At 49.0% G+C, this 15,018-nt stretch overlaps 1 protein-coding gene across 1 annotated transcript in view, besides 3 other annotated features; it reads left to right on the top strand.

Moving 5' to 3' along the window:
- The window catches only part of RASGEF1A (RasGEF domain family member 1A), a 72,531-nt gene that overhangs the window by 11,965 nt on the left and 45,548 nt on the right, over positions 1–15,018 (top strand). The window lies entirely within an intron of this gene.
- Positions 4,173–4,964: an enhancer, noted in NCBI's record as "H3K4me1 hESC enhancer chr10:43745585-43746376 (GRCh37/hg19 assembly coordinates)". NCBI's record gives its function as "activates a minimal SCP1, AML or CMV promoter by ChIP-STARR-seq in naive H9 embryonic stem cells {active_cell/tissue: H9 hESC(naive)}" and the evidence as "EXISTENCE:reporter gene assay evidence [ECO:0000049][PMID:30033119]".
- Positions 4,965–5,757: an enhancer, noted in NCBI's record as "H3K4me1 hESC enhancer chr10:43744792-43745584 (GRCh37/hg19 assembly coordinates)". NCBI's record gives its function as "activates a minimal SCP1, AML or CMV promoter by ChIP-STARR-seq in naive H9 embryonic stem cells {active_cell/tissue: H9 hESC(naive)}" and the evidence as "EXISTENCE:reporter gene assay evidence [ECO:0000049][PMID:30033119]".
- Positions 5,844–6,013: an enhancer, noted in NCBI's record as "experimental_12309 CRE fragment used in MPRA reporter constructs". NCBI's record gives its function as "activates a minimal promoter by MPRAs in K562 erythroleukemia cells, with activity observed for both the introgressed and non-introgressed 10:43744621 variant alleles {active_cell/tissue: K562}" and the evidence as "EXISTENCE:reporter gene assay evidence [ECO:0000049][PMID:34662402]".

Genomic DNA, 15,018 nt, shown 5'->3' with positions numbered 1-15,018 from the left:
TGCCAGGCAGAGACCAGGTGGTGGCTGGGGCTTCCCGGAGGTGCTGGAAACCCCACACTTCCCGGTTTCCTCTCCAGATGCCTGGGAATGGGGAGCCTCTGCCCAGGAGGAAAGTCCCCAGTGTTCCCAGCCGAGTGTGTCAGGAGTGCGGGGATAGAGGGGCCTCCAGTGGGCCCTGGGGCTACCAGCTACACAAGGAGGTCCCAATGTCAGACCCAATGGAGTCACTGGTGTCATTGCTTGTGTGCCATAAAGGGACTGTCTCCTTTGTTCCCTCCCTTTAGTCAGGGATTATTCTGGGGACCCTAGGAGGAGCCCCTGCTTGGACCCCTGCTTGGAGCTCATCCCACAGAGACCCGTTTTACCTCTGAGCTACAGCAGCGGTTTCCATCCTTGCCTGTGACCACAGAGACTTGCTCAGGGAGCACAGCCTTATGGACTCCCAGCCCCCACCTAGCCCCCACCCAGCCTTCTGCCAGCAGCTGAGGCCCAGAGGCCGGGTGTCACTGCGCTGTGACCTGAGTGTGAAGGTGTCAGTTCCGGGCCCTGCAACAGTAGACCAGGTCCGGGGGCGGGGGTTAGCGGTGCAGCCGTGAGGCCCGAGGTGGAGAGGGCAGGCAGGACCAGCAGGAAGAGCACAGCCCACAGGGCTGGAAGGTCTGGGCCAGGCCCAAGGAGCTTGAAGGATAGGTGCCTGTTAGGAAACCCGTGCCCTCAGCAGGAGGGCCAGTGCCCCACCACACAGATCTAAGGGGGCAACAAGTGGAGGCCGCCAGCACTGGGGGGGTCTACCTACATGGCCCCTTGCAGCCCTCCATGGCCCCACAGCTGTCCTGGTGCCACTGGCACATTGCAGTTCCCAAGAGGACCCTGAAGGCCCCCTCTGTTTGTCTCCCGCCCTCCCTGAAGTGTCCTGGCTCCAGGGTTTCCTGCAGGGGATATTTTCCTGCAGCCCACTTCCTTGCACAGCTGGGGTCACAGAGCACAGCCCTGGTGGGAGGCCATCCACCGAGCACTGGGCCTGGCATGTGAGTCTCCGTCTGCCCTCTGTGGGCCTGAGGGTGGGGAGGATGGTGCCAGACCCCATGGGGAGGCAGGCCTGCCCCAGGCCCAGCTTAGGGGCACTGCCGGGTGAGCCCTAGAGGGGTCCTGCCCCTGTGGTCTGTGCCTGTGGCCAGCCGGCTGGTGCTCAAAGCAGGGTGGGCTGCCCCTGCCTCTTATTGCTGCTGCAAAAAAGTCCCACAGATGGAGCTGCTTCCGCACCACATGCTTCTTATCTCGGCCAGTAGGTCAGAGGCTGGGTCGGGTCTTAGGGGCTGAGGTCAAGGCGCTGGCCGGCCTGCCTCTTCGGAGGCTCCAGGCAGAATCGTGGTCACGCAGGTGTCTGTTGGTAGAATCTCATTCCTTGAGGTCCCCGTCCCCTGTGGGATGTTGGCCCCTGAGGGCCCCTAGAGCCCCCTCTGGGCCTTGTGTGAGGCTCCCTACAGCTCCGAGCCAGCCACAGGTGTTGGGTCCCCTGACGCCACCATCTCCCTGACCCTGTCTTGTCCTCACACTTTCTCTGACTGCAGCGGGGAAAGATTCTTCAACTTTAAGGACTTGTGAATACAATGGGCCCACCCAGGAGAATCTCCCAGCAGCCTTAAGAGCCTCTGCCTAATTACACCTACAGAGTCCCTTTTGCCGAATACGGGAACATTCCCAGGTTCTGGAGATCAGGCTGTGGGCATATTTGGGGGCCATACCCACTCTTGAGAGCCTAATCCCTCACATGAGGTGAGCAAGGCAGCCCTCCCCGGGGATTTGGGAGTTTACAGTCTGGGGAGCTACAAGGACCTCAAATCCACACACGGGGTAGTTTGGAGGTTGTGGCACCCGCTGAACACATCAGGATGAGGTGGTGGGGGGTGTGGGGTGGGTGTCAGGAAGGCTGGACCTGGCCAGGCCCCTCCTGCAGGTGGCCTTGCTACGGTGGGCGTGGAAGTGTGTGGGGGCACCCCCGCCTGTGGGCCCTCCCTGGGCTGGGTGTGCACAGCCCCTTTGTCTGGGGCATGGACAGAGGAGACCATGGGGGTTTGCCCACGATGGGCTCCTTTGAACTCGCTGGTCCTGAAGGCGTGGGGTGCGGTGCTCTGTGAGGAGAGCTGGGGTTGTTGGCAGCAGATTGTGGGTTCCAGTGGGGTGCGGACGATGAGTGCCAGGGTGCAGGGGAGCGGTTAGTCCCAGTGGGTCTGTGTCGAGGGTGAGCAGGAGGCACAGGGTCCTCTCTCGGGTGCTGCCTCCCGCCGCGAGCCAGTCACTGGGTGTGCAGCAGAGGGAGCCTGCAAGCCTCTGTGGAGGGGCTCTATTGCCAGTGGGAGTCAGGTGAGTTTGGCAGCCGAGCCCTGAAACCGGGTCCTCTGTCTGTGCTAAAAAGCCCCTGAGCTTAGGACATGTGAGGGGAAATCAGACCTTCAGAAAAGAAAGTGCACTGTGTCTGCCTCACAGTCACGTCCCCTCCCTTCCTGGGAGTCCATGGCTAAGCAGAAGTCAAGGGCCTGGCCAGGCAGTTGGGTTTGGAAGACAGAGTCACTGACTACCCATTAATGCCCTGCCCTTCCTTCCCAGGCAGGCCTGCCTACTAGAAAGAGCTGCTGGATGCCGAGCCCCGGCCTGTCCCGCAGCCCCGTAGCCCACCCCTTCCTCCCTGCCTTCCAACTCCAAGTGCCTGGCCAGGCCCTTGACTCCTGGCCTGGTTCCCCTGCCCACCTAGTCCTGGCTGTGGAGAGGTGGGTGTGCTGGTCTGTCTGCTCCTTCTGGGGTGCACTGCTCTGTGTCCCACCTGCTGACACCCTTGAAACTAAAGATGTGTCCACGATGTGGAGTGTGCCTGTGTATGCACACCCATGTGGGTGGGTGGCAGTACCGTGCACACACAGGAGTGCCTGGGTCAGCCCTCTATTCCCCCAAGCCCCCTCTGCTTCTGGGGGCCTGCCCCAGGCACTGTCCTTGGTCATCCCAGCATCAATGGCGACAGGTGCCCTCTGCGTCCTCACCCTCTGACAACACTCCTCATGGCCAGGGCCAGGTGGGAGCTCGACACCACCCTGTGTGTCCTCAGGGTGCCGCTACCATCCAGCAGGGCCTCCCTGTCTGCCTGCTCCTGCATCACCAGGGGTCCGTCTTGTTGGGGAGACTCCCTGTGGCACAGCACCTTCACCTGTCCCTTCCGAACCTGACAACAGCAAGGAGAGAACTGGTACTTGTGAGGGTCAGGGGTCTGGTCCACACCAGTGCTGGGCCAGACGAAGGCCTGGTCCCCCTCACAGTCCTGGAGGGGTGGCTGTGCACAGGGAGGCAGAAGCAGAGGTGTCCCGTGAGCCAGAGAGTGTGGATTCCCAACCGTCTGGACAGGGTGAGCTCCCCAGGTAGCGCTCAACAAGCACGTTTCGCAGTCTGCTCAGGGCTCGCAATTAACAGGACTGTGCCACCCCTGACTGCGTCTGGAGGTGAGGTGGTGTGGGCTGTGGGCTCTGGGCTGACATCTCAATTTTCACAGCGGCTGGCGTCCATCATGCACACTGACACCTTGTGCTCAGTGGCAAAGCAGAAGCAGTAAATCAATCTGTGTGGCTTTTTCTTTCCTGGGCATGCGTGAGTGTGTTCTGGAAGCCACACTGTTCCTGCTCCAGCCTTTGTGCCTCCTAGGGGACTCCAGCTGAGGTGCAAATCCTAGCACGGTGAGGGGCCCCACAAGACGCTTCAGGCAGCAGCGGGGTGCAGATGGGAAGCACACAGTCCTCATATTGGGGGGATATTAGGGACCTGGTGCCGAACCCACAGGGTGCTTTTCATGAGGGCCCCAGGCGGCTGCCGCTGGCTGATCAGTGCTGCATGCTGGGACTGCGGCAGGAAGGAAAACTGAGTCTCAGAGGTTGGGTTGCAGAAGAGTGCCATCAGGGCCCAGCCAGCAGAGCAGGCCTCTTCCTGCAGCCCTTCCTGTTGGATTTCTGGGTTTCTGGCACCTTCCCGGCCTCCATCAGGGAATAGGCACTTCCTTCCACGCCCTGCAGCCTCAGAGGTGCTCCCTAGAGCAAGGCCCAGGCCCCTCCTCACACATTCCCTTCAGCTGTGAGGCTCGCTGCTGGAGCCTCTGCCTGGCCCTGGGCAGCTCCTGCCTGCACGTCTCCACCTCCACCCAGGTGTCTCTGGCTTCAGCAGGGTTGCGGGTCAGTGCCTGGGTCCATTGAGCCTTGTTCCCCAGGACCACCACTCCCAAGCCTCCAGCCCTCTCTGCCCCTTCCAGCTGGGAAGCCGCCATTGACCAGGTGACAGGTGGGAAAACAGCGGAGCCACAATGCCCCTCATGTGCTTTTGACATTTGACCTGACCTTGGGGCTAGGTGAGGGGCAGATGTAAGCAAGGAGCCTCTGTGGAATGGAGCATGGAAGGAACCCTCTAGGGTGCCTGACCCCCCCCTTCCCCTTCGGCACACCCCACACTTGGGGCTTCTCAAGTCTGGCTGTGTGCTGGGGTCTCCCACTGAGCTGGCAGAAGATTCCAACCTCAGAGCCACACCCCCAGACTCTGATTCACTCGGCCTGGGGGCGGAGCCCAGGAATCTGTTTCTAGCAGTCGTCTTGGGTGGGGTGGGGCACTTTCTGAGAGTGACTTATGTCAAGCAACAGGCGGAATTGGCACTGTCCTGGGTCAGCTGGGACGACTGTGTCCTATGGCTGGTGATGGCATATGGACCTGGGAGGTGGTCTCTGCGTCCCCCGACAGGGAAACCGTCATAGCTGCTCAGGTGTGTCCATGACAGGTGCTCTCCCCATTCCCCCATTCCAGGTGGCCCTCCTCTCCCCAGCTGTAGTGAAACCAGTGTCCGGGCAGCTGGCTCCCAGGCAGCGCTCCTCCATAGCTCCGAGACTGCGCATTGGCCAAGGGTACACAGTGCCAGAGAAGGTGCCTCGCAGGGAGCTGCACCGGTCCTTCAGGTGCATGGCATTCACCACATTTTCTAGAAGTGGAAACTGAAGTTCAGAAAGGTGAAGGGCTTTTGCCAGCTCCCTCGGTGGGAGACACAGAGGTGGTGTGCTTGCCCTGGCCGCTGGACCCTGCTGTGAGCACTGTGCCCTCTCCCCAGGGGACTTTCCCCGAGGGAGAGCACTGAATAATCTTGCTTTTAAATCTTGCTTTTAAACACACGTGAAAGTCCCTGCAGGAGCACCTTCCCTGATTAGGCAGCATCAGACCCTGGTGGCTGCAGCAGCTTCCTGGCGTGGGGGCCGGTGGTGGGGGCAGGAACATCCTCTGTTTTGGACTCTGAGGATTGGGGGACACTCTGGGGCCCACCTCCTCCTGACCACAGGCCTTCCCAGCTGGCTCCTTCTGAGGGACACAGAGTTGGCCCTGCTTGGCAGGCAAGGGGAACAGGAAGCCCCAGGGCCAGCCAGGGTCCAGGATGCCTTGCTGGCCCGAGCTGTGTGCAGACACTGACATTTCAGTCCCATCTTGGCAGTGATGTCAGCTGGCCTGGGCAGGACCCTGCACCGCTGTGTGCCTGGGGGAGCAGAGCCAGCCAACAGCAATGGGGAGAGAGGGTGAGGCTGGGCCTTGCTGGCCAAATCACCAGCACTGTCTTCCTTCTTGGAGCCACGGAAGTGCTTTCAGAAGCTGAGGCCAACAGAACCCCCTTCCCCCAGGACCGTGACTCAGAAGAGCATGGTTAGCTGGGGTGGAGTGGGGGCCCTGCAACCCTGCATTGGAGAGTGGATGGCCACTTGGATGAGGGCTTACCAGGGAGGATGGACATACAGATGGTCAGACGTGGGAAGTGGGTAGCACAGCAGCAGGTGGGAGCTGGCAGTGGTGTGGGTGTGGGGCAGTGAGGAGATGGCTACAGGTCTTGGCTACTGTTCTTAGAGTCTGGTTGATTCTCAGCCATGGCGTCCTGCTCCTCAGATGGACACAGGTGACCAGGTCTCTCTCCCTTACAATTGCTTTTTATGCTTTCCTCTGTTGCCTGGAGTGTCTGTTTCCTCTGGGGTCAGTTCTTCCCTACGTGGATTGCTTCATGTGGGTGAGAAGTCACCTCATCTGAGGAGCCTTCTCCAGCTGGCCCATATTATCACCAACAGAGCCCCCATCCACTCCTGGCTCTCCCCACCTGCTCTAGTTTTTTCCACAGCACTTGTTGCCGGCTGGTGTGTGTTTCCCTGTTTAGTATTTGTGTCTCCCCTTGACCATTTATGCTTCATGAGGCCCAGGACTCTGTGGGTCATGTTTATGACCATATTCCACTGCCTAGAACAGGGCGAGGCAACCCTAAGCCCTCAAGATACAGTTATTGGATGAATGAATACCATTACCTAGCCTTAAACTCAGGCCAAAGAAAAATGAATAAGAAAAAAATCTACAGACTAGTTGAATAAAGGGGAAACCCCAAACACACCATTCAAGAAAAAAAAATGCCTTATTAGCTCACTGTCATTCATAATGAACAAAATACAAATTAAGCCTGCAGTGAGACCATTCTCACCTGTTAGATTGTGGTGCCTGTGAGGGTCATCGAGTGCTGTCCTGGTAGTGGGATGTTGGTCATCGTCATCTTTTCTTCTAAGAAATTGAAATATATAATTCACATAACTTAAATTTTACCCTTTTAAAGTGCATGATTTAGTGGGTTTTAGTGTATTCACAAATGGAACCATCATCTCTAATTCCAGAACCTCTTTTTTTTTTTTTTTTTTTTTTTAAAGACCGAGTCTCATAGTCTCATTCTGTTGCCCAGGCTGGAGCGCAGTAGTGCCATCTCGGCTCACTGCAACCTCTGTCACCCAGGTTCAAGCGAGTCTCTGGGCTCAGCCTCCCAAGTAGCTGGGATTACAGGCATGTGCCACCATGCCCAGCTAATTTTTGTATTTTTAGTAGAGACGGGGTTTCACCATGTTTGTCAGGCTGGTCTCGAACTCCTCACCTCAAGTGATCCACCCGCCTCAGCCTCCCAAAGTGCTGGGATTATAGGCATGAGCTACCACACTCGGCCATGTTTTTTTTTTTTTTTTAATCTTATTTTTTATAAATAGAAATGGGGGGTCTTACTATATTGCTCAGGCTGGTCTCAAACTCCTGAGCTCAAGTGATCCTCCCACCTCAGCCTCCCAAAGTGCTGGGATTACAGGTGTGTGCCACCATGGCTGGCTAATTTTTTTGTAGTTTTAGTAGAGACGGGGTTTCACCATGTTGGCCAGACTGGTCTTGAACTCCTGACCTCAGGTGATCTGTCTGCCTAGGCCTCCCAAAGTGCTGGGATTATAGGTGTGAGCCACCACGCCCAGCCCAGAACTTCTTAATTATCCCTCAAACTGCCCCTTCCCCAACCCACCAGCTTCTGGTAACCACTAATCTATTTTATGACTCTATGAATTTGCCTATTCTGGATATTTGAATAAGTGGAATCATGCAACATGGCCTTTTTTGTCAGATTTCCTTCTCTTAGCATACTGTTCTCAAGTTCTTCAGTGTTGTAGCATGTTGGTATTTCATTCCTTCTTATTGCTGTGTAATATTCCATCATATGGATAAACCACACTCATTAGTTAATGGATATTTGGGTTGTTTCCACTTTGTGGCTAATATGAAGAATGCTGCTGTGAACATTTGTGCACAAGTTTTTGTGTGGACAGAGGTTTTTAAATATTTTGTGGAATACAAGGAGCGGAATTGTTGGGTCCTATGATAACTCTGTTTAACAATTTAAGGAACTATACCGATCATTTTCTGAATAGATTGCACAATTTTACATCCTTACCAGCAAAGTATGAGAGTTTCAGTTTCTCAGCATCCTCAGTAACACTTGTTATTACTGTCTTTTCTATTATATCCACCCCAGTAGATAGTGTCTCCTTGTGGTTTTGATTTGCATTTGAAATCCTAATAACTAATAATTTTGAGAAATTTTAATGTGCCTATTGGCCATTTGTACATCTTCTTTAGAGAAATGTCCATGAGGGCCTTTGCCCGTTTTTAACTGGGCTATCTTTTTATCATTGAATTGTAAGAGTTCTTCATATATTCTGGATACTAGACCCTATAACATATATGGCATGCAAATATTTTCTCCCATTCTGAGGGTAGTGTTTCCCATTTCTTCTTGATAGTGTCCTTTGAAGCACAAGTTTTTCAAATTGGATCAAGTCCAATTTATCTCTTTTAAAATTTGACTGCACATGCTTTTGGTGTCATATTTACGAAACTATTGCCTAATGCAAGGTCACAAAGATTTACACTTGTTTTCTTCTAAGAGTTTTATAGTTTTAGGTCTTGCATTTATGTCTTTGATCCATTGGAATTCATTTTTATATGTGGTACGAGGTACAAATCCAAATGTGTTCCTTTGTTTGAGGCTATCTGCTTGTCCCAGCACTATTTGTTGAAGAGAGTATTCTTTCCCCATTAGATTATTATGACACTCTGGACAAAAATTGAGTGACCATGGAGGTGTGGGTTTATTTCTGGACTCTCACCTTTATTCTGTTGATTTATAGGTCTATTTTTATGCCATTACCACACAGTCTTAGTTACTGTAGCTTTGTAGTAAGTTTTGAAGTCAGGAAATGTGAGTCCTCCAACTTTGTACTTCTTTTTCAAGACTGTTTTGGTTGTTCCAGGTCCCTTTCATTTTCACACGAATTTTAGGAACAGCTTGTCAATTTGTGCAACAACAACAACAAAAGCCAGCTAGAATTTTGATAGGGATTGCATTGAATCTGTAGGTCAATTTGGGGAGTATTGCCATCTGAAGAATATTGTCTTACAATCCATGAACATGGGATGTCCTTCCACTTATTTAAGTCTACATTAATTTCTCCCAACTATGTTTTGTAGTTTTTAGTGTACAAGTCTTATACTTTTGTTAAATTTATAATTATTTTATTCTCTTTGATGCTATTACGAATTGAATTGTTTTCTTAATTTTATTTTCAGATTGTTCATTACTACCATATAGAATTACAATTGATTTTCATATATTGATCTTGTATCCTATAGCCTTGCTGAATTTATTTATTAGTTCTAATAGTGTGTGTGTCTGTGTGTGTATGTGTATTTCTTAGGACTTCCTATATATGAGATCATCTGCAAATAGAGATAGTTTTACTTCTTCTTTTCAATATGGGTGTCTTTTATATCTTTTTCTTATCCAATTGCCGAGGCCAGAACCTCCAGAGCAATGTTAAATAGAAGAGGCAAGAGCAGACATATTTGTTTTGTTTTTGATCTTAGGAGGAAAGCTTTTGGTCTTCTACAATTAACTGTGATGTTCTGGATTTTTCACAGATATCCTTTATTGGATTGATGAAGTTCCCTTCAGTTGCTTGTTTGTTGAGCATTTTTTTAAATCTTCAAAGGATGTTGGATTTTATTAAATGATTTTTCTGCATCTATTGTGATGATTATGTGGTCTATGGATATGGTATATTACATTGATCTTTGTATGTTGATCTAACCTTACATTCCTTGAATACGTATGGCTTAGTCATGATGAATACTTACAAAATATGCTGCTGGATCTGATTTGCTAATATTTTGTTGAGGAGTTTTGCATCTACATTTATGGATGGTTTATATTGGTTTATAGTTTTTTTCCTTGTGATTTTGTTTCCTAGTTTGAGTATTAAGGCAATAGTGACCTCATGGAATGAATTGGTTAGTGCTTTGTATTCTATTTTTTGAAGGACATTGTAAGGGATTGGTGTTAATTCTTTAAGTGTTTGGCAGAATTCACCAGTGACTTTGGCCCTGGGCTTTTCTTTGTGGGCAAGAAGTTTTTTGATTACTAATTCAATATCTTGTTATAGGTTTATTCTGACCTAAGTTTCAGTCTGAGAGTTTGTGTTTCTCTAGGAATTTTCCCATTTCATCTAGTTTATCTAATTTCTTGGCAAACAGCTGTTCATAGTATTCCCTTATAGTGCTTTTTATTTCTGTAAAGCTGGTGGTAATATCCTCTCTGATTTTACTAATTTGAGTCTTCTCTCTATTTTTTTCTTGTTCAGTGTAGTTAGAAGTTTGTCAGTTTTATTTTTCAAAGAACCCATTTTTGGTTTTTCATTAACTTTCTCAATTTTTTTTTACTCTCTATTTCATTTACTTTCACTCTAGTATTTTCTTCTTCTGTTATTTGTTAATTTAATTTGCTTCTCTTTTCCTAGTTTCTCAAGGTGGAATGTTAGGTTGTTGATTTGAGAACTTTCTGTTTTTTAATGTGGACATTTATAGTTTTATATATATATTTTTAAACTCAGCACTGCTTTTGCTGTATTCCGTAAGTTTGGCATGTTATGTTTTCATGTCCATTTATTTCATAGTATTTTTACTTAAGTAAATTTGAGAATTCCCTTGTGGTTTCTTCTTTTTCCATTGGTTATTTAAGAATATGTTGTGTAATTTCCACATATTTGTAAATTTCCCAGATTGTTTTTGCCGTTGACTTCTGTTATTTTATTGTGGTCACAGAACATACTTTGTATAATTTCAGTCCTTTTAAATTTATTGAGATTTGCTTTATGGCCTAACATAAGGTCTATTCTGGAGAATATTTCCTGTGCACTTGAGAAGAGTATGTGTTCTGTTGTTGTTAAGTGGAGTGTTCTGTCGATGTCTGTTAGGTCTAGTTGGCTTAAAGTGTTGTTCAAGTCTTCTGATTTTTTTTTTTAATTTTTTTATTTTTAGTATTTATTGATCATTCTTAGGTGTTTCTCAGAGAGGGGGATGTGGCAGGGTCATAGGATAATAGTGGAGAGAAGGTCAGCAGATAAACACGAGAACAAAGGTCTCTGGTTTTCCTAGGCAGAGGTCCCTGCGGCCTTCGGCCCTGTTTGTGTCCCTGGGTACTTGAGATTAGGGAACGGTGATGACTCTTAACGAGCATGCTGTCTTCAAGCATCTGTTTAACAAAGCACATCTTGCACCACCCTTAATCCATTTAACCCTGAGTTGACACAGCACATGTTTCAGAGAGCAGGGGGTTGGGGGTAAGGTTATAGATTAACAGCATCCCAAGGCAGAAGAACTTTTCTTAGTACAGAACAAAATGGAGTCTCCTATGTCTACTTCTTTCTACACAGACACAGTAACAATCTGATCTCTCTTTCTTTTCCCCACATTTCCCCCTTTTCTTTTCAACAAAACCACCATCGTCATCATGGCCCATTCTCGATGGTCGCTGTCTCTTCGGAGCTGTTGGGTACACTTCCCAGACGGGGCGGCCTGGCAGAGGCGCTCCTCACTTCCCAGGCTGGGTGGCCGGGCAGAGGTGCTCCTCACCTCCCAGACAGGGCGGCCAGGCAGAGACGCCCCTCACCTCCCAGATGGGGCGGCCGGGCAGAGGCGCCCACTTCCCAGATGGGGCGGCTGGGCAGAGGTGCTCCCCACCTCCCAGACGAAGAGCGGCCGGGCAGAGGCGCTCCTCACTTCCCAGGCGGGGCAGCCAGGCAGAGACGCCCCTCACCTCCCAGATGGGGCAGCGGCCAGGCAGAGGCGCCCCTCACCTCCCAGACGGGGCGGCCGGGCAGAGGCACCCACTTCCCAGGCGGGGCGGCCGGGCAGAGGCGCTCCTCACTTCCCAGATGGGGTGGCGGCCGGGTAAAGACGCCCCTCACTTCCCAGGCGGGGTGGCCGGGCAGAGACGCCCCTCACTTCCCAGGCGGGGTGGCCAGGCAGAGACTCCCCTCACCTCCCGGACGGGGCAGCTGGGCAGAGGCGCCCACTTCCCAGATGGGGCGGCCGGGCAGAGGCGCTCCTCACTTCCCAGACGGGGCGGCCAGGAAGAGGGGCTCCTCACATCCCAGACGATGGGCAGCCAGGCAGAGACACTTCTCACTTCCTAGACAGGGTGGCGGCCGGGCAGAAGCACTCCTCACTTCCCAGACGGGGGCGGCCAGGCAGAGGCGCTCCTCACTTCCTCCCAGACGGGGCGGCCAGGCCGAGGCGCTCCTCACATCCCAGACGATGGGCGGCCAGGCAGAGACGCTCCTCACTTTCTAGATGGGGTGGCGGCCGGGCAGAGGCACTTCTCACTTCCCAGATGGGTCGGGCGGGCAGAGGGGCTCCTCACATCCCAGACGATGGGCGGCCAGGCAGAGACGCTGCTCACTTCCTAGACGGGGTGGCGGGCGGGCAGAGGCTGTAATCTTAGCACTTTGGGAGGCCAAGGCAGGCGGCTGGGAGGTGGAGGTTGTAGTGAGCCGAGATCACGCCACTGCACTCCAGCCTGGGCAACATTGAGCAATGAGTGAGCGAGACTCCATCTGCAATCCCAGCACCTCGGGAGACCGAGGTGGGCAGATCACCCGAGGCCAGGAGCTGGAAACCAGCCCGGTCAACACAGCGAAACCCTGTCTGCACCAAAAATACAAAAACCAGTCAAGAGTGGCGGCGCGTGCCTGGAATCCCAGGCACTTGGCAGGCCGAGGCAGGAGAATCACCGGAGCCCAAGGCAGGGAGGTTGCAGCGAGCCGAGATCATGGCAGTACAGTCCAGGCTCTGCAAGAGAGGGAGACGGTAGAAAGAGGGAGACGGAGAGCGAGAGCGAGAGGGAGAGAGAGGGAGAGGGAGAGGGAGAGGGAGCGATTTTTTTTTAACTGACCTACTGTCTAGAGTTTTTGTTCATTATTGAAAGTGGGGCTATTGAATTCCCCAACTATTTTTGTTGAATTGTCTTATTTCTTCCTTCAATTCTATCAGTTTTTGCTTCTTGAATTTTGGGACTCTGTTGTTAGGTATATATTTGTTTGTAATTGTTATATCTTGTTGATTAGCCCTTTAATCATTATAAAATATCCTTCTTTGTCTCTAGTAACAATTTTTGTCCTAAAGTCTATTTTCTCTAATATTAATATAGCCATTCTGGCTCTCTTTTGATTACTTTTTGCTTGGAATGTCTTTTTTCATATTTTCACTTTCTTATTTATTTATTTTTTTGAGATGGAGTCTCGTTCTGTCGTCTAGGCTGGAGTGCAGTGGCGCAGTCTTGGCTCACTGCAAGCTCCACCTCCTGGGTTCACGCCATTCTCCTGCCTCAGCCTCCTGAGTAGCTGGGACTACAGGTGCCCACCACCATGCCTGGCTAATTTTTTTGTATTTTTAGTAGAGATGGGGTTTCACTGTGTTAGCCAGCATGGTCTCAATCTCCTGACCTCGTGATCCACCCACCTTAGCCTCCCAAAGTGCTGGGATTACAGGCGTGAGCCTCTGCATCCGGCCATATTTTCACTTTCAACTTATTTGTGTTCTTCTCTCTAAAGTGGGTCTATTTTAGAAAGCCATGTAGTTGGATCATGTTTTTTTTTTTAACTCTGATAATCTCTGACTCTTAACTGGAGTGTTTAATTCATTTACATTTAATGTAAATACTGATAAGGTAGGATTTGCTATTTGTTTTTTATGTCTTATGCCATTTTTGTTCCTTTATTCCTTCATTATTTTCTTCTTTTGTGTTAAATAGATATTTAGATATTATCTAGTGTACCATTTTAATTTCTGTCTTTTCCTTTATTGTATATTTTTGAGTTATTTTCTTACCTGTTGCCTGTAGGGTTATAATTAATATCTTAACAAATAACTATGTATATGTTATATGTACATGTCAATGTTCAGATTAATACAAACTCAATTGCAACAGTATTCAAAAACTTTGCTCCTCTGTAGTTCTGTTGCCTCTCCTCTCCTTTGTGCTGTTACTGCCATAAAATTTACATTTTTATACCTTGTGTGCTCATCAATCTATACTTATAATTATTGTTTCATGCAGTTGTCTTTTAATTCAGGCACATTCAGGGTAGTATGGTCATAGACCAGTTGTCTTTTAATTCAAATAGGAGAAAAATAGAGTTAAGTGCATAAAATGTGTTTATACTATCTTTTATATTTACTAATATATAGCAATAAATATAAAACCAGTAAAGTTACCTTTAATGGTCCTCTTTATTTTTTCACATGATTTCAAGTTGCTGCTTATTGTCCTACTATTTCAGCCTGAAGGACTCTCTTTAGTAGTTCTTATAAGGCAGGTCTTCTTCTGACGAGTTCTCTATTTTATTTGTCAGGTAATTTCCCTTTCATATTTGAATGACAATTTTGCTGCATAAAGAATTCATGGTTGACACCTCTTTTCTTTCAGTATTTTGAACGTGTCAGCTCAACTGCTTCCTGCCCTTCATGGTTCCTGATAAGAAATCTACCTGGAGTTTGTTGAACTTTTAGGATATGGAGATGAATATTTTCATCTAACTTAGAAAATTTTAGCCATTATTGCTTCTAATATTTTTTTTCTGCCTTATTTCTCACTCTCCTCTTTTTCTGAGACTCTTCTTATACATATGATAGTGTCCATTATGGTGTCTGTGGCTCTATTTATTTGTTCCTTTCTTTTTTCTTTCTGTGCCTCAGACTGGATAATCTCAATGGACGTTTTTTCAAGTCACTGATTCTTTCTTCTCTCTGTTCAAACCTGTTGTTGAGCCCCTCTTGCTATGTTTCATTTCATTTACTTAGTTTTCAACACCAGAATTTCTGCTTGGTTCTTTTTTATAATTTGTATTCCTTTATTGATATTCTCTGTTTGATATATTGCTTCCATACTTTCCTTTAGTTCTTTAAACATCAATTCCTTCAGTCTTTAAAAAATATACTTAAAGTAGCTGATTGAAAGTTTTTGTTTAGTAAGTCAATTCTGGAAATCAGATTCTCCCCACTCTTTGGGGTTTGTTGTTGCTGCTGTTTATTGTAGTAATGGTTGTTTGTTTTGTGACATTTCTGGATTACTTCTGCAAAGTCTGTATTCTTTTGTGTGTGGCACTGAAATCTCTGCTCAGTTATCTTAGCGGTCAAATAATGATTGGAAAGAAATTTTCATAAGTGCCTGGAGTCAATAAAGTTCTCAGTCTTCGCTAAGGGGCTCTGTGTCTTTGGGTATGCTTTCAGCTCTCAGCTAAGCAGCTGATAACTCTGCCTTAGTCTTCTCTTCCTGCTTGCACA

Source organism: Homo sapiens, chromosome 10 (genome assembly GCF_000001405.40).
Source record: "Homo sapiens chromosome 10, GRCh38.p14 Primary Assembly".
In the NCBI taxonomy this organism is placed as follows: domain Eukaryota; kingdom Metazoa; phylum Chordata; class Mammalia; order Primates; family Hominidae; genus Homo; species Homo sapiens.
The sequence above is the reverse complement of the archived record's forward strand: the minus strand, read 5'-3'. Positions and strand labels throughout refer to the sequence as shown.